This window comes from Homo sapiens, chromosome 3, assembly GCF_000001405.40.
Source record: "Homo sapiens chromosome 3, GRCh38.p14 Primary Assembly".
Classification (NCBI taxonomy): Eukaryota; Metazoa; Chordata; class Mammalia; order Primates; family Hominidae; genus Homo; species Homo sapiens.
The window spans coordinates 54,271,618-54,294,445 of NC_000003.12; the positions used below are offsets into that span (position 1 = coordinate 54,271,618).

Here is a 22,828-nt window from a genome sequence, read left to right on the forward strand (position 1 = left end):
TTCTTCTAATTGAACTTAATTTCTCATTTGAGCCCTTGTTCTACCAAGTTACTGAAGTGAAATCCATGGATTTGTGGTGCTCTCTCTGGCTCTCCCTGGAGTTGTATGCAGTTCCAAGGACCTACATAGAGCCAAGGCATGGTGGTGGAGGGCCTCTGGTGCCCTGCTGTCACCTGTCAGTGATGGTGTTTATGGAGACATCCTTGCTCCCAATCACCTTTGATTTTGTCTCGGAGAAACTGGGCCATGCTAAGTAACAAATTCACTCCAAAAGCTCTGTGGAAAATATAAAAGTTACTTTGTTGCTTAGGCAAAGTCCCCAGTGGCTTGGGCAATTCTTCAGGGAGTCGTTTATCTAGATAGTGATCAGGGAGCGAGCTGTTTTCATCTTGTTTCAGTATAAAGCTTCTAGACACCCAGACAGGGAAGAGAGGACTGGAAGTTTCTTGAGTGTCTCTTAAGTGCTGGGTCTGGATGGGACACATACCTTCCCATATCCATGGGCTACAGCTGGACATGGCCCCGCCACCCCCCATCCACAAGGAAGCTGGTGTGTCGGGAGTGACACGTGTTAGGTGGGCATTACCAGTCACTGCCACCGTTGTTGATTGATTTTGAGTCACTTCTTTGTTTTCTTGTACATTTTGCCTCACCTACCTCAAGGCTAGAGCAGTTTTGCCAGCTCTGTGTGCTTCACCCCAGCTGCTTGCAGCCAGTGAGAGAAGCTTTCCATTCTTCCTGGACCTTCTGGGCTTGGGGAAGCTGTGGGGCCATCTATGGCTCCTTAGGCCACCTGTTCCACATGCATGTCTTTAGCATCAAATGTGCTGGTTGTGGGAGGACCATGGGACCTTACTGGCTTCCTACACTGCTTGGAGAACAGAAGGTGCAAGTGATCCCTGTTTTCAGGTTCATTAAACCTATTGTGGGGTTCTTCTGTTCCCCTCCCAGGGATGAGTGATGAGGACTCAGGGCTCCTTCCCACAGATGCTTGTCCCAGACACAGCTGGGTCTGGCTGCTTGGCTTCCCCCGAGAACTCTCCCTGAGCCCTCTGCTTATGACATTGCTTCACTTTTGTGACATCGCTTAATTTTTGTGATGTTGCTTCACTTTTGTCATATTTTATTCATCAGAAAGAAGGCACCAGGTCTAACCCACACTCCTGAAAAGGGGATTGCACAGAGGCACAAAGACCTCTGGTGTTTCCAGTCCGGGTAGACTGGCTGTCACCACTGGGGCACTGGTGGGTACCTGTGAGCTGATGAGTGGGACCAAACGGCTCTGGCCACCTTGGACCCCATTCCTCCCAGGCTTTGTCTCTCCCTGAGCCCTGCGCTTGAGAACATTAAAAGCCATGCCTTGGACCCCCTTGTTCTGAGTCCTGCCATGGGCCGTGAGGACAGCCGGCCACTCTTCCTGGTGAGCAGATTGTCACTCGGCTCCAGCTGCACGTCCAGCTCTTCCGCTGTTTTGCTCACGGTAAATGCGTCACTGGAGAAGGGAAGGTGGATTTTTGCAGTTCCACGTGCCTGGCACAAGGATATCATTTGGTAAGGAAACTTGTTGGAGAATGTGTGAAGGCCCAGGGTTTGTTCTTTCCTCTCTTCCAGCTGTGCTTACTGGCTGGAGAGAAGGGTTTGGATTCGTCTCGTTACTCTTGGCTGCTGGGCCCTTCTTCCTTTGTCGGCTGTTCAGAAGTGGGAAAATATATATTTTTTTCTCCCTCTCCTTCTTTGTCTCTTTGTCTGTGTCTGTCTGTCTGTCTCTCTCACGCACACACCCTCCATCCTCTGATCCCATTCTAGCTTCCCTGCTTTATTTCCCACTGATTTCTTTAATGCCCCAATCACATATAAACTAAACCATTTTCTGTTCCTTGCGTTCTGGCTCTTGGGTGGTCCTAGTTAACCAGCTTTCACAGGGCAGCGTTTCCCCTTTGGTGTGATTCACATTAAAGGTGAGACTTAGACGCTGTCTGAAGTGCAGGCAATTTACTCTGGCAGCAATCTCACAACACGGACAGCAGGAGCAGGCTGGTGGCCAAACACAAGGTCCAGATGACCACCCGACTGGGAAGGGTCTCCATCTGGCGACCGTTCTCGGAGTTTGAGGGATTCTTCCTCCTTTCTTACACCTGTACTCAGTCCAGGTCAGTTCCCAGGTGTTTCTTTCATAATGGAGCTTTAAGCTATTCTGGTAAGGGTGAGCTTTGTTTTAAGGTTTGTGAAAGTTGTGTCTGTGCTAGATGGCCTTATCTCTAGGGCAACTAGGATTTTGGGATCCAGTTGACATAGAGACCCAGTAATCCCTGGGCCAGGGCTGGAAATCCCAGGCCAGGTTGCATCATACTGCTAAGTGTGTAGGTCCTGTGAGATGTTTGAGTGGGCGTATGGCTGTCATTAATCTTATAGCCATGGTATCTCATAGTATACTACAGTGTGTCTTTGTTTGTGTTAGTCTACTGGAAATGACCTTCTCTTATGACTCTAACATTTACCCCATTCCTTAAAAAAATCTGCTGTAAAGCAATATTTACAAACAGAAACCTGGAAAATATACAAATATATATCTCTACATTTGTAGAATGATTTCTATGCATATATATATATATAAGAAATACGGAAATGTATAAAGTAGAAAGCAAAACCCCATAACTTTATCACCTGGCTGTAATCATTCTGATTCATTCTTATAGATTATTTTTCTTCTTTCTTTCTTTTTCTTTTCTTTCTTGCAACTCCCTGATATGATGAGAGATCCTTGAGGCCCACTTCAAGTGCAAGTCTCCTCAGACACCTTTTTATATCATTATTCCTAGCCAAAAGAGATGGTGTCTTTCTCAGTACCCCTAGAATGTTAGTGCTCCTGCTCGTCACTGTGTGTTCGGGGTCATTGTATTAGTTATCTATTGTATTGCAAATTACCCCCAAAATTATCTATTGTTGTATTGCAAAAATTACTATTGCAAAATAGTGGCTTAAAACAGCAGCCATTTACTATTACACAGTTTCTCTGGGTCAGGAGTCTGTATCCAGCTTTACTAGGTTCTCTGTCCAGGATCTCTGACAGGCTGCACTCAAGGTGTCAGCGGACTGCAGTCTCACCTGAAGGCTCGGCTAGGGGGGAACTGCATCCAGGCTCACGCATGGTCTGAGGGCTTCCAGGCCTTGCTGGCTCCCTCAGACCTTTGCCACGTGGGCCTCTCTGTTGAGCAGCTCACTGCATGGCAGCTGGCTTCCAGCAGAGTGACCAGGGGAGACAGCAAGAGAGCCTTTTTGTAATCTGATCTTGGAGGTGACATTGCTTCACTTCTGTCATATTTTATTCATTAGGAAGAAGTCACCAGGTCTAACCCACACTCATGGGAAGAGGGTTGCACAAAGGCATAAAGACCAGGAGGCAGGGACCACTGGGGTCCATCCAAGAAGTTGCCTGCCGCAGACAATCCTGCTTATGAGCCTGTGCTGGACTGCATGCCGTCTTGGGCAGAGCCCTGCCTTATCTTTATATGTCTAATGAGATCGTGTATCTTGTGCCTGATGGGCACTCAGAAACCCACTTTGCTGTTCCCTCTTTCGTCTCTCATAGCAGGCGCCCTCTTCTTGGCAGCCTCTGCCCCGGCCCACCTCTGTGCCTTTGCTGGATAAGTCGTCTCATGCCTTCAGGTCTCAGGGTGTGCACCCCTCCCCTAGGCAGGGAGTAGTTCTTGACCTCTTTTATGCCATCAACCACTTTGACAGTCTGAAACTTAGATTTTTTCTTAGAAAAAAAATTCAAGTTCAAAAACAATATGAAAGGCATAGAATTATAAGGAAACTCAATTATAATGAAATACAGCTATCAAAATATAAAAAACCCAGATTTGTGATATAATAATATATGTGCTTATTTAGTAACACCTTAAATAGCAAGATGTGCAGCAGTCTTAATTTCAAAATAGTGATGAGAATGAATGCTGTTTTGAGATACTGACAGACACTAAAAGGTGATAGGAAAGTATCTGATTTCTTTTTTTTTGAGACAAAGTCTCACTCTGTCACCCAGGCTGGAGTGCAGTGGCATGATCTCAGCTCACTGCAACCTCCGCCTTCTGGGTTCAAGCAGTTCTCGTGCCTCAGCCTCCCAAGTAGCTGGGATTACAGGTGCCTGCCACCACGCCTGGCTAATTTTTATGTTTTTAGTAGAGATGAGGTTTCATCATATTGGCCAGGCTGGTCTTGAACTCCTGACCTCAGGTGATCTGCCGTGATCTGCCTGCCTTGGCCTCCCAAAGTGCTGGGACTACAGGTGTGAGCCACTGCACCTGGCCGGAAAGTATCTGATTTCTACTGGGGATAAAGTTGCAGGTTCTTTTAATACTAATTTTATTTGTTTACTTTAAGAACTCAAAATTCAAGGAAATAACTACAATTCAGTGCAAGGTTATTAAAAATCAGGGTTGGATTCTTTCTCTGACATCCTGAAGCCCCGATTGAATGCCCCTCCCTGCAGGGATGGGTTGGCTGCCCACTGCACCCCTGAGCCCTCTACTCTTCCCAAATGAATGTGCCCTGCGCCCTCTCCCACTGCCCCCTTGTTGAGGAGTGAACAGTCAGCAGGGTTCACACTGGAAAGATGAAGATGGGATGAGAGAGAAGGAAGAGCAGTTTGATAAGAAAACGAAGAAAGAGGCCAGACGCAGTGGCTCACGCCTGTACTCCCAGCATTTGGGAAGCTGAGGCGGGCAGATCACTTGAAACCAGGAGTTCAAGACCAGCCTGGCCACCACGGCGAAACCCTGTCTCTACTAAAAAAAACCACAAAAATTAGCCAGGCGTGGTGGCATACGCCTGTAATCTCAGCTACTTGGGAGGCTGAGGCAGGAGAATTGCTTGAACTTGCGAGGTGGAGGTTGCAGTGAGCCAAGATCACGTGGCTGCACTCCAGCCTGGTCAACAGGGCAAGACTCTGTCTCAAAAAAAAAAAAAAAAAAGAAGAAGAAGAAAGAGAGAGCCATTAGAGAGAGTCCATGCTGATTGTACAAGAGAAGTTTGGTATTTTGAGGCAGGGAAAAGAGGAATTAGGGAGGGGATGAGAGGCAGAAACAGAGTGGCAGGGCTGGTATGGGAGAGAGGATGGTAAAGAAGTTTTTTTCTGTGCATTTCTTCCAGGTTAAGGTAAAGGTCCAAATTGTTTATTTTCTGGCTACCCAACTGTTGCGTCTAAACCCATCTCTAGGCTAGAGCTACACCCTGAGGCAGCTTTCCTTGATTGGGTTGCCCACTGATGACCAATGACGGATGACTGATGACTGTACACTGTGGTTGTTTATGTAGATGAGGGTTGATGAGCTATGGCCCACCGCAGGCATGCCGCTTCTTGTTGTACATCTCCAGTTTTCAAATTCAGGGCCTGTCCTTTTTCAGATGCTGTATTACTGGGCCCTGGTCCATGGCATGGAGGTGGCACATAATGACACAGACCCAGTGTACCATCCTGTCCTTCAGGCCTGGGCCAGGGAGGCCCCCACACGCTGCCCTGCAGGACTGGGTTGCTGCCATTCACATGAACGTCTGCCCTTTCCTCCCTTTTTAAAATCCCGCCAGTGCCTATGTCCTGAATGATATTGCCTAGGTTTTCTTCTAGGGTTTTTATGGTTTTAGGTCTTATGTTTAAGTCTTTAATCCATATTAAGTTAATTTTTGTATACGATGTCACGAAGGGGTCCAGTTTCAATCTTCTGCATATGGCTAGCCAGTTTTCCCAACACCATTTATTAAATAGGGAATCCTTTCCCGATTGCTTGTTTTTGTCAGGTTTATAAACGATTAGATGGTTGTAGATGTGTGGCATTATTTCTGAGGCCTCCGTTCTGTTCCATTGGTCTATATATCTGTTTTGGTACCAGTACCATGCTGTTTTGGTTACTGTAGCCTTGTAGTATAGTTTGAAGGCAGGAAGTGTGATACCTCCAGCTTTGTTCTTTTTGCTTAGGATTGCCTTGGCTCTACGGGCTTTTTTTTGATTCCATATGAAATTTAAAGTAGTTTTTTTCTAATTCTGTGAAGAAAGTCAGTGGTAGCTTGATGGGGATAGCATTGAATCTATAAATTACTTTGAGCAGTGTGGCTATTTTCATGATATTGATTCTTCTGTACATGAGCATGGAATGTTTTTCCATTTGTTTGTGTCCCTTCTTGTTTCCTTGAGCAGTGGTTTGTAATTCTCCTTGAAGAGGTCCTTCACATCCCTTGTAAGTTGTATTCCTAGGTGTTTTATTCTCTTTGTAGCAATTGTGAATGGGAGTTCCCTCATGATTTGGCTCTCTATTATTGGTGTATAGGAATGCTTAAAACACCAAAAGCAATGGCAACAAAAGCCAAAATGGACAAATGGGATCTAATTAAACTAAAGAAGCTTTTGCACAGCAAAAGAAACTGTCATTAGAGTGAAAAGGCAACATACAGAATGGGAGAAAAATTTTGCATTCTATCCATCTGACAAAGGGCTAATATCTAGAATCTACAAGGAAGTTAAACAAATTTACTAGAAAAAAACAACCCCATCAAAAAGTGGGCAAAGGATATGAATAGACATTTCTCAAAAGAAGACATTTATGCAGCCAACAAACATATGAAAAAAAGCTCATCATCACTGGTCATTAGAGAAATGCAAATCAAAACCCAGTGTGATACCATCTCATGCCAGTTAGAATGGTGATCATTAAAAAGTGAGGAAACAACAGATGCTGGAGAGGATGTGGAGAAATAGGAATGCTTTTACACTGTTGGTGGGAGTGTAAATTAGTTCACCTGTGGAAGTCAGTGTGGTGATTCCTCAAGGATCTAGAACCAGAAATACCATTTGACCCAGTAATCCCATTACTGGGTGTATACCCAAAGGATTATAAATCATTCTACTGTAAAGATGTGCACACGTATGTTTATTGCAGCACTATTCACAATAGCAAAGACTTGGAACCAACCCAAATGTTCGTCAGTAATAGACTGGATAAAGAAAATGTGGCACATATATACCATGGAATACTATGCAGCCATAAAAAAGAATGAGTTCATGTCCTTTGCAGGGACATGGATGAAACTGGAAACCATCATTCTCAGCAAACTAACACAGGAACAGAAAACCAAACACCGCATGTTCTCACTCATAAGTGGGAGTTGAACAATGAGAACACCTGGACACGGGGAGGGGAACATCACACACCAGGGCCTGTCGGGGGATGGGGGGCAAGGGGAGGGATAGCATTAGGAGAAATACCTAATGTAGATGACGGGTTGATGGGTGCAGTGAACCACCATGTCACGTGTATACCTATGTAACAAACCTGCATGTTCTGCACATGTATCCCAAAACATGTACCACACACACAAAAACACCAGTATTGACAGCCCAGCTACAGAGCAGACAAGAATCAAATTAGCATTCTTTAATGTACACGGATCCTGCGACGATACCTAATTCACTGCTATAAATGGACTTGTTTCCTCATTCCCCAAAGCTTTACTGTGCCTTTGTGAGGCTCCAACGATGGAGAGATTGGCTGTGTCTCTTTGATGACTCATTTAATTCCCAGTTTCATGAGTGGAATGCACAAGTCCAAGCAGGGGTGAGGTGCAGATTCTGACTAACGAATGGAAATAATTGAAACATTACGAGTGATTTCAGTGACACCTTTCTACCACTCATGGCTGCAGGCGGGTGGGCAGCAGTGACCTTCACTGTGTGTGTGGGAGTGAGGACCAAACGGGATGGCCCTACTAGTATGTATGCCCAAGGAGAGCTGAGTAATTTCCCCAGGGACTGAGGATTTATTAAATATTGGAATCCTGACAAGCTCCCTCTCTGTGTCTCTGGTACTACGCTCTTCCCAGAGATGACCTTGGCTACACTGAGACTGCACTTAGCTTGCACTTTGAAAATGGAGCTTTCATTTAAATGCCTTGTCTCCTTGTGGCGCAGGAAGGTTGGATTTTCAAGAACTTTCCATCTCTGTCCCCCTGTCTGTTACTGGAGAGCAGTATGTAGTGCCAGCAGCCCTGTTGTACCTACAGGCATGAGTGTCTGAGTAGAGCTCTGGCTTAGTCCTAATAATTGAAACCATTTCGAGTTCTAGCATCTTGTGCACAGAGCTGTCTCTGTTCTCAAAACGAGAATGGAGGGCCTTGTCTTGAGGGTTTGGGCTTTGAGTAGCTGCCTCAACTCCATGTGGTTGGTAGACTGTGATCAGCATAGGACCTGAGGTGTTGGTTTTGTTGTTGGTTTTGGTCTAGCCTGCAGCATCATTTTTACACGAAGCAAAGGTTCCCTAAACTGAATTTTATACCCTGTGTTTTCAGTGGTAGGGGCCAGCCTAGGCTAGTTCCACCTGTAGAGAATTCCAACAGTGATTTCTTTGATACAACTAAGCATAAGTGAAACCAACAAAGATGACTTGTTTGTTTGTTTGTTTGTTTATTTATTTATTTATTTATTTATTTATTTGAGACGGAGTCTTGTTCTGTTGCCCAGGCTGGAGTGCAGTGGTGCGATCTCTGCTCACTACAAGCTCTGCCTCCTGGGTTCACGCCATTCTCCTGCCTCAGCCTCCTGAGTAGCTGGAACTACAGGTGCTCGCCACCACGCCCAGCTAATTTTTTGCATTTTTAGTAGAGACGGGGTTTCACCATGTTAGCGAGGATGGTCTCGATCTCCTGACCTCATGATCCGCCCTCCTCGGCCTCCCAAAGTGCTGGGATTACAGGCGTGAGCCACCGCGCCTGGCCTGTTCGTTCATTTAATACATATTTATTAAGCACCTATGAGTCTTGGACCCAAGCTCTTTGCTGGTGGGGAGTAGGCAGAAACCCAAAGAAGTTCCTGTATTCATTAAAGTTCTAATGTAGTGTAGGGGGGACAGAAATGTGAGGGCCTGAACACTGTACTAAAAGAGGGAGAGTAAAGGAGTGTAGTCAGGGCAGGCCTCAGGGAGGAGGTGACATGAAAGCCTAGACTTGATTCCCCGCCACAGTTTGGAGCATGCCTGCCACGCAGCCTCATACAGTTTCCCCCTCAAGTTTAGCAATAACAACCCTTCCCGACTCTGTTCTCTCTTGTGCCCTTTGATCTCTTGCCTTTGAGCCTTTGCTTTGCTGTTCCCTCTGCATCATTCATTCCCTCTCGCCATCACCTTTCTTAGCTAACGATTCCTCCTCCTTTTTGGGTCTCAGCTTAGGCATCCCTTCCTCTGGGAAATGCCTTTAATGCTCAAGTCTAGGATGGAGCCCACTCCTGGAAACTGCCCACACACTCCATACTTCCCTTGCTATGGTGTTGAGCATACTACTTTCTTGCTTTTTTCCTTTATGAGGCTGTGAACTCCCAGAGAATGAGGACTGTGGCTATACTGTTTATTCCTCTGTCTTCAGCATCCACCCTAGAGGCTGGCACACTGGTTTGTGTTTATTGAATGGCATCATGTGCAAATGAGTGCTGGCTGAGGCCCTGGCTCCTAAACAACCTGGAGTGGAGAGGAGGAGGACAGCACCATGGGGAAGTGTGGGAAGCCGACAGTGTCCACAGGTGATTCACTCATCTCCATTAGGCATAAGGCGATGTTGAGCAAAACAGTATCAGGAACAGGGCCCCTGCCCTCCCTTGCCACTTGGAAGCCATGATTTATGGCACAGGAAGGCATCACTATATTTTTATGTAGATTCTTGCACATTTTGTGACTCAGTATCTTTTCCACTGTGTATCCAGATTGCCGAAAAACACAAGGCTACCTGCCTGTGTCAGACCACGTGGGAGCTAGGTATAGAGGCCTGGTGAACCCTCCCGGTGGCAGAGTGGATCATGAGGGGGAGGAAGTGCTGGGCTCTGAGGGGTGCAGGCAGACCCCAGAGCGCACTCAAACATGGCAGCTCTGTAATGAGGTGATCCTTCATTCCTTAAACTGCTGAGCGAGAGCTGTGCGAACAGATGTGTGCCCACCATGGTCACGTGGAACACCTCAGAGAGCCACAGAAAGGCCAGTTGGTGCGGTTATGTTTTATTGATGTCTTCCTGCCTCTGCACATTCTTGCTGGGAATAAATAAATTATATTTTATTGTATAGAATTAAAGCTGAAAATGATACAGCTTAAGCTCTGTATTCATGCAGAATATTAGGAGGTGAGCTGGATCTGAATCAGTGGCATTTCCTGGCAGTTAAGAATGGATGTTCAGTCTCCGTGGGTTTGATGTGACCAGTTGACAGGAAGTTCTACTGCATTGTACTGACAGGAGTTAACACTGCTCAGCAGATAGCACAGAGTGGAGGCTTCCTTATGTGTGTTAAAGCAAAGTGTTCATTGCTCCCTCTCTCCCGACATTTATAAAATTAAAAAGATAGTTTATTGCTTAAGTGGTCTCAGCAAATCAAAGCATGACTAACCACAGCAGTGATGACAACAAAGTGTATACTGACATAGAAGGCTCTTCATCACATAATTTGTAAAAGGCACTTCTTCATAAAATGGAAAACATATGACAGAATTCCAGTTTGTTAAAATGCATGTTGAACGCTGAGAAAAAAAATATTAAGCTAGGGGGTTTTGCAGGGTAGGTGGGAATGGAGAGTTGGTGGAATTGTCACTGAATTTTCTATGTCAAATATCTGTAATGTTTTTCAATGAATATTTATTAGTTTTTTAATAAATTAACATAGGTATAGAGATGCTTTGGAATTGAATAAATACAAGCTCATGATGCCACTTTATAAGACTAAGTTGACATGCTAAGAGGCCCTTGGATAGTAGCCATTAGCCAGCAACAAACCATCAGGTGTGAGGAAAGATGCGTCAAGGTAGAGACACCAGAGTACTATGTGGATCATTCTGGTGCTCCAGCACCCTCATGAGGGGTCAATGTACTTGTGGAGTTGAGGAATGGAAACTTAGAAGTCTTCATGTTACTATCACGTAGACTTCTAGACATCTAGTCTGATCTAGGAAAAGAAGTGACTGTATTCAGTGATGTTACTGTCCTTGTGATTCTTAAGTCACCAGGCTATGTGCTGGGCTCTGGGTATGCAATGAGCTTCATGAATTTACAGTGTAGTGAGAAGACATTAAAGCAGATACATATATAAGTGTATTACAAGTTGTGATAAGTATTATGAGAAAGAGCACAGGTTTCAATGTGAGAGAATAAAAGACATCACTTTCTGTAGGAATTAGCCCTCTAAGAAGAACATACACTTTTAGTTTTCGCTTTGTTTTTTTTTTTGTCATCAAATACAGTCATTATTAGTTGAATCACAAACCCTATCATAGTAGTTAGCATTGTTTGTGCTTGTAGATAATAAAAGTCTGTTATCAAATAGGAAGAAATACATGAGAAATAGGTCTTTATTCTTGAGGGTACATTTCCCTTTTGATGAAGCAGTTTCGTACTTTACATGATCCTAAAAGGATTTTTACTTTAAAAACAAAGAAGGAGAGATTGATTTGAGTTTTGAGCCAGCAGGACTTTGAAATGTGATTATAATTATAGGATACAAATTGCAGAATTTTAGTGAGAAGTAATGTTGTCCAAAGAGAATTGATAGGGAAGGTGGTGTCAGTGAAGCAGAAAAGATGCCAGTCCTGTTTTCCCAAGTTCTACTTTCTGATCCTGGCAGGGACAGCAGTGGTGGACTGCCCTGGGGTAAAATCCCTGCCCTCTGTAGGGTCAGAATTCTTTTTCTAAATGGGAAGAGATAGACTTTAAGGGTCCTCCCTCCATGGATATCTCCTGATGCTGTGAAATGTTTTTGGTCGCAGAATATAATGTGAAGTTGCATATCTGCACTCTTTTAGCAGAGTATTAAACATGAGAACAAGATATTTAATGGGCAAATGTTTTGAGCTTAGATACCTAACAGAGCAGATAAAATTCTTCAGGAAGTATTAATAACAAGAGGAAGAAATTGCTTTAGAGGCTTACTCTGTGTTTCTGGCTTTCATTGTAGTGTGATATTCTGGGGATATGATTTAATTGGTGAGGTCAGAAAGCAAGTGCAATGTGTGTGTGTGTAATTGCACAAGTTGGGATACATCACTGGTGAATCACATTCCCTTTGTCCGCTCAAAACCTGATAACGACAGTGTTGTTCTTGACCTTCTGACACCAGAGGTGTTTCTCTGTGTAGATAGAGGAAGAGGCTGCTGATTTTTTTTAAACTACTCCTCTGTCCCAGCACTTTGGGAGGCCGAGGCAGGTGAATCACTTGAGGTCAGGAGCTCGAGACCATCCTGGTCAACATGGTGAAACCCCGTCTCTACTAAAAATACAAAAATTAGCTGAGTGTGGAGTGCGTGGCTGTAGTCCCAGCTACTCAGGAGGCTGAGGCACGGGAATTGCTTGAACACAGGAGAAGGAGGTTGCATTGAGCCGAGATTGCACCGCTGCACTCCAGCCTGGGCGACACAGTGAGACTCCATCTCAAAAAACAAAAAACAAAAACAAAACAAAACTACTACTCTGATATATGTACTTACATATTAAAACCTTTTTCCCTTTTAAATGGTTAAAATATTTAAGCTAATGCTAAATGACGAGTTAATGGGTGCAGCACACCAACATGGCACATGTATACATATGTAACAAACCTGCAAATTGTGCACATGCACCCTAAAACTTAAAGTATAATAATAATAAAAAATAAAATTAAATTAAAAAAATTAAAAAAATTAAATAAAATGGTACAATTAAGTTTTGTACTGATGTTAATCTTATAGTTTTATAGGTTAGTTTTAATTTTATATTTGTAATATATTATATATTTTAGCTTTGTATTTGTTATATTGACAAATATACCACAATAACATATAATGTTAACTTTAGGAGAAGTTGGGTGAAGGGTATATGGGAACTCTATTCCCTTTACAGCTTTTCTGTAAATCTAGAATTATTTCAAATTCAATCTACTAAAGGAAAAATCGTATTAAAATGTCTTAATTTTAAGGATGACATCTAATATACTCTGAACAGTAAACATCTCTGTCTTGATGAACAGTGTGAGAATAAAGTGTAAAAAATGAATTTTGGTGGAATAGAGCTCCTTCGGTACCAGTACTTCTTAATAAAAATAGTCGTCCAATTACCTGCTGCAATAATTTTCTTAAAATCAGGATCAGAGACGGATATTCATTGCAGCATTGTTTACAAGAATAAAAGATGTTCTAAAATAAGGGATTGGCTAAATAAATGACACCTCTTCAGTATCCTGGAATGCTATAAAGCAATAACAATGATGATGTCCAATGTATTTGACATTAATAGTGCTTTCGATATGTGGAAAAGTATGTCATAAAGGAGTATATAAATATATACCTACGAAGATGGCCGAATAGGAACAGCTCTGGTCTACAGCTCCCAGCATGAGCGATGCAGAAGACGGGTGATTTCTGCATTTCCATCTGAGGTACCGGGTTCATCTTACTAGGGAGTGCCAGACAGTGGGTGCAGGACAGTGGGTGCAGCGCACCGTGCGCGAGCCGAAGCAGGACGAGGCATTGTCTCACTCGGGAAGCGCAAGGGGTCAGGGAGTTCCCTTTCCTAGTCAAAGAAAGGGGTGACAGACGGCACCTGGAAAATCGGGTCACTCCCACCCTAATACTGTGCTTTTCCAACGGGCTTAAAAAACGGCACACCAGGAGATTATATTCCTCACCTGGCTCGGAGGGTCCTACGCCCACGAAGTCTCGCTGATAGCTAGCACAGCAGTCTGAGATCAAACTGCAAGGCGGCAGCGAGGCTGGGGGAGGGTCGCCTGCCATTCCCCAGGCTTGATTAGGTAAACAAAACAGCCGGGAAGCTCGAACTGGGTGGAGCCCACCACAGCTCAAGGAGGCCTGCCTGCCTCTGTAGGCTCCACCTCTGGGGGCAGGGCACAGACAAACAAAAAGACAGCAGTAACCTCTGCAGACTTAAATGTCCCTGTCTGACAGCTTTTAAGAGAGTAGTGGTTCTCCCAGCACACAGCTGGAGATCTGAGAATGGACAGACTGCCTCCTCAAGTGGGTCCCTGACCCCCGAGCAGCCTAACTGGGAGGCACCCCCCAGTAGGGGCAGACAGACACATCACACGGCCGGGAACTCCTCTGAGACAAAACTTCCAGAGGAAGATCAGGCAGCAGCATTTGCGGTTCACCAAAATCCGCTGTTCTGCAGCCAGCGCTGCTGATACCCTGGCAAACAGGGTCTGGAGTGGACCTCTAGCACACTTCAACAGACCTGCAGCTGAGGGTCCTGTCTGGTAGAAGGAAAACTAACAAACAGAAAGGACATCCACACCAAAAACCCATCTGTACGTCACCATCATCAAAGACCAAAAGTAGATAAAACCACAAAGATGGGGAAAAAACAGAGCAGAAAAACTGGAAACTCTAAAAAGCAGAGTGCCTCTCCTCCTCCAAAGGAATGCAGCTCCTCACCAGCAACGGAACAAAGCTGGATGGAGAATGACTTTGACGAGTTGAGAGAAGAAGGCTTCAGACGATCAAACTACTCCGAGCTACAGGAGGAAATTCAAACCAATGGCAAAGAAGTTAAAAACTTTGAAAAAAAATTAGAGGAATGTATAACTAGAATAACCAATGCAGAGAAGTCCTTAAAGGAGCTGATGGAGCTGAAAGCCAAGGCTCGAGAACTACGTGAAGAATGCAGAAGCCTCAGGAGCGGATGCGATCAACTGGAAGAAAGGGTATCAGCAATGGAAGATGAAATGAATGAAATGAAGTGAGAAGGGAAGTTTAGAGAAAAAAGAATAAAAAGAAACGAACAAAGCCTCCAAGAAATATGGAACTATGTGAAAAGACCAAATCTACGTCTGAATGGTGTACCTGATAGTGATGGGGAGAATGGAACCAAGTTGGAAAACACTCTGCAGGATATTATCCAGGAGAACTTCCTCAATCTAGCAAGGCAGGCCAATATTCAGATTCAGGAAATACAGAGAACGCCACAAAGATATTCCTCGAGAAGAGCAACTCCAAGACACATAATTGTCAGATTCACCAAAGTTGAAATGAAGGAAAAAATGTTAAGGGCAGCCAGAGAGAAAGGTCAGGTTACCCACAAAGGGAAGCGCATCAGACTAACCGGATCTCTCGGCAGAAACTCTACAAGCCAGAAGAGAGTGGGGGCCAATATTCAACATTCTTAAAGAAAAGAATTTTCAACCCAGAATTTCATATCCAGCCAAACTAAGCTTCGTAAGTGAAGGAGAAATAAAATACTTTACAGACAAGCAAATGCTGAGAGATTCTGTCACCACCAGGCCTGCCCTAAAAGAGCTCCTGAAAGAAGCACTAAACATGGAAAGGAACAACCAGTACCAGCCACTGCAAAAACATGCCAAATTGAAAAGACCATCAAGGCTAGGAAGAAACTGCATCAACTAAAGAGCAAAATCACCAGCTAACATCATAAGGATAGGATCAAATTCACACATAACAATATTAACTTTAAATGTAAATGGACTAAATGCTCCAATTAAAAGACACAGACTGGCAAATTGGATAAAGAGTCAAGACCCATCAGTGTGCTGTATTCAGGAAACCCATCTCACGTGCAGAGACACACATAGGCTCAAAATAAAGGGACGGAGGAAGATATACCAAGCAAATGGAAAACAAAAAAAGGCAGGGGTTGCAATCCTAGTCTCTGATAAAAGACTTTAAACCAACAAAGATCAAAAGAGACAAAGAAGGCCATTACCTAATGGTAAAGGGATCAATTCAACAAGAAGAGCTAACTATCCTAAATATATATGCTCCCAATACAGGAGCACCCAGATTCATAAAGCAAGTCCTGAGTGACCTACAAAGAGACTTAGACTCCCACACAATAATAATGGGAGACTTTAACACCCCACTGTCAACATTAGACAGATCAACGAGACAGAAAGTTAACAAGGATACCCAGGAATTGAACTCAGCTCTGCACCAAGCAGACCTAATAGACATCTACAGAACTCTCCACCCCAAATCAACAGAATATACATTTTTTTCAGCACCACACCACACCTATTCCAAAATTGACCACATACTTGGAAGTAAAGCTCTCCTCAGCAAATGTAAAAGAACAGAGATTATAACAAACTATCTCTCAGACCACAGTGCAATGAAACTAGAACTCAGGATTAAGAATCTCACTAAAAACCGCTCAACTGCATGGAAACTGAACAACCTGCTCCTGAATGACTACTGGGTACAGAACGAAATGAAGGCAGAAATAAAGATGTTCTTTGAAACCAACGAGAACAAAGGCACAACATACCAGAATCTCTGGGACGCATTCAGAGCAGTGTGTAGAGGGAAATTTATAGCACTAAATGCCCACAAGAGAAAGCAGGAAAGATCCAAAATTGACACCCTAACATCACAAAAGAACTAGAAAAGCAAGAGCAAACACATTCAAAAGCTAGCAGAAGGCAAGAAATAACTAAAATCAGAGCAGAACTGAAGGAAATAGAGACCCAAAAAACCCTTCAAAAAATTAATGAATCCAGGAGCTGGTTTTTTGAAAGGATCAACAAAATTGATAGACCGCTAGCAAGACTAATAAAGAAGAAAAGAGAGAAGAATCAAACAGATGCAATAAAAAATGATAAGGGGGATATCACCACCGATTCCACAGAAATACAAACTACCATCAGAAAATACTACAAACACCTCTACGCAAATAAACTAGAAAATCTAGAAGAAATGGATAAATTCCTCGACACATACACCCTCCCAAGACTAAACCAGGAAGAAGTTGAATCTCTGAATAGACCAATAACAGGATCTGAAATTGTGGCAAAATCAATAGCTTACCCACCAAAAAGAGTCCAGGACCAGATGGATTCACAGCCGAATTCTACCAGAAGTACAAAGAGGAGCTGGTACCATTCCTTCTGAAACTATTCCAATCAATAGAAAAAGAGGGAATCCTCCCTAACTCATTTTATGAGGCCAGCATCATCCTGATACCAAAGCCGGGCAGAGACACAACCAAAAAAGAGAATTTTAGACCAATATCCTTGATGAACATTGATGCAAATATCCTCAATCAAATACTGGCAAACTGAATCCAGCAGCACATCAAAAAGCTTATCCACCATGATCAAGTGGGCTTCATCCCTGGGATGCAAGGCTGGTTCAATATACGCAAATCAATAAATGTAATCCAGCATATAAACAGAACCAAAGACAAAAACCACGTGATTATCTCAATAGATGCAGAAAAGGCCTTTGACAAAATTCAACAACCTTCATGCTAAAAACTCAAGAAATTAGGTATTGATGGGACGTATCTCAAAATAATAAGAGCTATCTATGACAAACCCACAGCCAATATCATACTGAATGGGCAAAAACTGGAAGCATTCCCTTTGAAAACTGGCACAAGACAGGGATGCCCTCTCTCACCACTCCTATTCAACATAGTGTTGGAAGTCCTGGCCAGGAGAAGGAAATAAAGGATATTCAATTAGGAAAAGAGGAAGTCAAATTGTCCCTGTTTGCAGACGACATGATTGTATATCTAGAAAGCCCCATCATCTCAGCCCAAAATCTCCTTCAGCTGATAAGCAACTTCAGCAAAGTCTCAGGATACAAAATCAATGCACAAAAATCACAAGCATTCTTATACACCAATAACAGACAAACAGAGAGCCAAATCATGAGTGAACTCCCATTCACAATTGCTTCAAAGAGAATAAAATACCTAGGAATCCAACTTACAAGGGACATGAAGGACCTCTTCAAGGAGAACTACAAACCACTGCTCAATGAAATAAATGAGGATACAAAGAAATGGAAGAACATTCCATGCTCATGGGTAGGAAGAATCAATATCGTGAAAATGGCCATACTGCCCAAGGTAATTTATAGATTCAATGCCATCCCCATCAAGCTACCAATGACTTTCTTCACAGAATTGGAAAAAACTACTTTAAAGTTCATATGGAACCAAAAAAGAGCCCGCATCACCAAGTCAATCCTACGCCGAAAGAACAAAGCTGGAAGCATCACGCTACCTGACTTCAAACTATACAACAAGGCTACAGTAACCAAAACAGCATGGTAGTGGTACCAAAACAGAGATATAGATCAATGGAACAGAACAGAGCCCTCAGAAATAATGCCGCATATCTACAACCATCTGATCTTTGACAAACCTGAGAAAAACAAGTAATGGGGAAAGGATTCCCTATTTAATAAATGGTGCTGGGAAAACTGGCTAGCCATATGTAGAAAGCTGAAACTGGATCCCTTCCTTACACCTTATACAAAAATTAATTCAAGATGGATTAAAGATTTACATGTTAGACCTAAAACCATAAAAACCCTAGAAGAAAACGTAGGCATTACCATTCAGGACATAGGCATGGGCAAGGACTTCATGTCTAAAACACCAAAAGCAATGGCAACAAAAGCCGAAATTGACAAATGGGATCTAATTAAACTAAAGAGCTTCTGCACAGCAAAAGAAACTACCATCAGAGTGAACAGGCAACCTACAAAATGGGAGAAAATTTTCGCAACCTACTTATCTGACAAAGGGCTAATATCCAGAATCTACAATGAACTCAAACAAATTTACAAGAAAAAAACAAACAGCCCCATCAGAAAGTGGGCGAAGGATATGAACAGACCCTTCTGAAAAGAAGACATTTATGCAGCCAAAAAGCACATGAAGAAATGCTCATCATCACTGGCCATCAGAGAAATACAAATCAAAACCACATTGAGATACCATCTCACACCGGTTAGAATGGCGGTCATTAAAAAGTCAGGAAACAACAGGTGCTGGAGAGGATGTGGAAAAATAGGAACACTTTTACACTGTGTGTGGGACTGTAAACTAGTTCAACCATTGTGGAAGTCAGTGTGGCGATTCCTCAGGGATCTAGAACTAGAAATACCATTTGACCCAGCCATCCCATTACTGGGTATATACCCAAAGGACTATAAATCATGCTGCTGTAAAGACACATGCACACGTATGTTTATTGCGGCACTATTCACAATAGCAAAGACTTGGAACCAACCCAAATGTCCAACAATGATAGACTGGATTAAGAAAATGTGGCACATATACACCATGGAATACTATGCAGCCATAAAAAATGATGAGTTCATGTCCTTTGTAGGGACATGGATGAAACTGGAAACCATCATTCTCAGCAAACTATCGCAAGGATAAAAAACCAAACACCGCATGTTCTCACTCATAGGTGGCAATTGAACAATGAGAACACACGGACACAGGAAGGGGAACATTCCACACCGGGGCCTGTTGTGGGGTAGCGGGGGGTGAGGGATAGCATTAGGAGATATACCTAATGCTAAATGACGAGTTAATGGGTGCAGCACACCAACATGGCACATGTATACATATGTAACAACCCTGCACGTTGTGCACATGTACCCTAAAACTTAAAGTATAATAAAATAAAATAAAAATATGTACCTACATACACAGGATGGATGGAAAACATCGTGGCAGGTTGCATACCAAAATACAAATTGTTGCTTTTAACTAGCCTGTGGGTTATGAGTGATCCTTATTTATATTTTGCTTATGTCAGTTTCCTACTTTACCTATCATGAACATATATTACTTGTTTAATAAAGAAAATAAAAATTCGTGTCTCCACCATCACCACACAAATTTAAAAAGCAGTTGCAGGAATGATTAATATCCTTTTTCTCAGATAGGCAATTAAAATGGCATGTCCATATGTAAATATTGTCTAAATTTTGTCCCTTTAAAGTAACCCTTAAGGCTACTTTTTCTTGAAATGCATCATCTTTTTACCTGTTCCTTTGATTTTCATTCATATTGGTGAAAGCGCAAATCACAGTTCATAGAACCTCTTGTCATTTTTGCTGTTGATGTTTGGTGGTAACTGAATTATCTGAGCCTGTAATCTTTTTTTTAAAAAAGGTAAGTGTTAATTACTATGGACTAGGAAAAAGTGTGCCTCTCCCCAGCGAAACAGAACAGAGCCTGGCGGGAGCAGTTGGTTTTCTGAAACTTTTATTCATAATATATGCTATCTTTTTGATAAGATTTAGTGGTAGGCTTCTGACATTGCCTAGAACCCAAACTGTGATCGTGGAGCAGGTGATGTCTGGTGGACATAGTTACTCTAGGAATGGGAGTGCTGAACAGATTCGAAGTGTAGTCTAGGGAAGGAACATTTACATTGATTCACTCATTCATTCAACTATTGAGTAAATTTCTGTTACGTGCTGAACACTGTGCTAAACATTTTGAAATGTAACACTTACAATCCAGTAAGGGAGATAGCATGCAGATAATTAATGGTAAGTAATTATTGACCAAAAAAATAAAGTTGAAAAACAACATTAGTTTGATGGAAAGCCCAGAAACAAACCCTCACAAATCTAGTCAGTTGATTTCCAGCAAGTGTGCCAAGACCTTTCGGTGGTAGAAAGAAAAATCTTTTCAACAAATGGTGTGGGGACAACTGCATAGCCACAGGCAAAAGAATGAAGTTGGACCCCTACCTCATACCATACACAAAAATGAGTCAAAAAACCTAAATGTTAGACCAAAGGCCCAAATTTAAGAGCTAAAACTGTAAAGCTCTTAGAAGAAAACATAGATGTCAAATTTCATGACCTTGGATTTGGCAATGAATTCTTAGATAATGACAGCAAAAGTATGAGGAATGAAATAAAAAATAAATACATTGGACTTCATAGAAATTAATTTTTTTGTGCTTTCAAGAACACTATCAAGAAAGTGAAAGGTAACCTAGAGAAAGGGAGAAAATATTTAGAAATTATATCTGATAAAAGACTTGTTTCTAGAATATACCAAAAACCCTTACAGCTCAATAATAAAAAGACAACACAATTTAAAAATGAACAAAGGTTCTGAATAAACATATATCTTCAAAGAAGATACACAAATGGCCAATAAGTACATGAAAAAAAATCCTGAAATAATTTGCCTCAGTGAGATATAAATTAAAGCCACAGTCAGATAACAACACTTCACATCCACTAGGATGACTATAACCAAAAAGTCAGATACTAAGTGTTGGCAAGGATGTGGAGGAATCAGAACCCTCATATGTTGTTGGTGTGAATGTAAAATGGTATAGCTGCTGTGGGAAACAGTTCAGTAGTTCTACAAAAAGTTAAATATAGAGTTACCATCTGACCCAGCAATTTCATTCCTAGGTATACACTGCAAAAGAACAGAAAGAAGAGACTGAAATAGAGACTGGCACAACAATGTTCTTAGCAGGATTATCCACAATAGCCAAAGGTGGAAACAGCCCGAATGTGCATCAACAGATGAGTGAATTAATAAAATGTGATATATGCATACAATGGAATTTTCAACCATAAAAAGGAATGAATTTTTCATACATGCTACAACATGGATAAGCCTTGAAAACATAATGCAAAGTGAAATAAATCAGACACAAAAGGACAAACATTGTGTGATTCTACTTATACGAAGTACCTGGAATAGGCGAATTCCTAGAGACAGAAAGTAGAATAGAGGTTACCAGGAACTGAGTGGAGGGGAGAATGGGGTATTATTTTTTTATTTTCTTTTTTATTTCAGTAGGTTTTTGGGGAACAGGTGGTGTTTGGTTACATGAATAAGTTCTTTAGTGGTAATTTCTGAGAATTTGGTGCACCCATCACCTGAGCAGTATACACGGTACCCGATGTGTAGTCTTTTATCCCTCACCCACCTTACAACCTTTCCCCAGAGTCCCCATAGTCCATTATATCATTCTTATGCCTTTATGTCCTCATAGCTTAGCTCCCATTTATGAGTGAGAACATAATGATGTTTGGTTTTCTATTCCTGAGTTACTTCTCTTAGAATAATGATCTCCAGTTCCATCCAGGTTACTGTGAATGCCATTACTTCATTCCTTTTCATGACTGAGTAATATTCTATTATATATATATATATCAATATATCACATCCATGCAGTGGAATACTATTCAGTAATAAAAAGGAACAAGCTAGAGGCATACACAACACCCACAGATGAATCGCGAATGCATCATACTGAGTGAAAGAAGCTAGAATCAAAGGGCCACATTTATTTTTATTTATATGACATTCTGGAAGAGGCAGATCTGTTAGGACAGAGAATAGATCTGTGGTTGCCAGAGGTTTGGGTTGGGGAGTGATTGATTGCAAAGGGGCTCCTTGAGGGAATTTTCTGGAGTGATGAAACGGTTCTGCATCTTGATTGTGGTGGTGGTTACACAACTCTGCATTTATCAAAACAAATAAAATTGCACACCCAAAAGAGTGCATGCCTGAAACATTTAAATGCATGCTTGGGGGTAGTGGAAGGCCCCCAGAAAGGAGGGGGAGAAGGAGAAATTTTTATTTTAAGAATTAGATGTTTTGAAAACTTGTTTACATTACGTTAAAGCTGATCCCATAATTTGGAAGCAGTATGAAATGGCAGAATAAAGAAGCTGGGATTTTGTACTTTCTAGCAAGGGAAACCCTGATATTCGCCAGTGCTTTGGGAATTGATGAGTAAGAAAGACTAAGTAACAGCCTGTCCCACAGTGATCATCTCTGCCACCCTGTGTTGTCATTTTAGATACTGTCTTTTTAGGGGCCCATTTGCACTTGGTCTTGCCCAAGGATCAAGGAAAGTATTTCTGCCACTTTCCAAAGAAGCCTTGCATAACAAATGGGTATGCGACAAAGTTTTTCGAGGGAACAGGTTCAGTTTAGGCCCCCTGGTGACAAGAAGACGTCTGTGCTGTCCTCATGAGCTATCCTCCTGCCCACCAGCCCTCTGCTTGTCCTCTC

The 22,828-nt window shown here is 42.3% G+C and overlaps 1 protein-coding gene and 1 long non-coding RNA gene across 2 annotated transcripts in view, besides 1 other annotated feature; both read left to right on the forward strand.

The window, feature by feature from the left end:
- CACNA2D3 (calcium voltage-gated channel auxiliary subunit alpha2delta 3) overlaps nucleotides 1–22,828 on the forward strand; it is a 952,006-nt gene that overhangs the window by 149,066 nt on the left and 780,112 nt on the right. The gene's annotated exons all lie outside the window — the stretch shown is intronic.
- On the forward strand, nucleotides 1,480–21,381 carry LOC124909382 (uncharacterized). Its single transcript, XR_007095915.1, has 2 exons — nucleotides 1,480–1,551; nucleotides 21,208–21,381. It is a non-coding gene; the product is annotated as an uncharacterized LOC124909382 (long non-coding RNA).
- Nucleotides 13,776–14,277: an enhancer, noted in NCBI's record as "H3K4me1 hESC enhancer chr3:54319420-54319921 (GRCh37/hg19 assembly coordinates)". NCBI's record gives its function as "activates a minimal SCP1, AML or CMV promoter by ChIP-STARR-seq in primed H9 embryonic stem cells {active_cell/tissue: H9 hESC(primed)}" and the evidence as "EXISTENCE:reporter gene assay evidence [ECO:0000049][PMID:30033119]".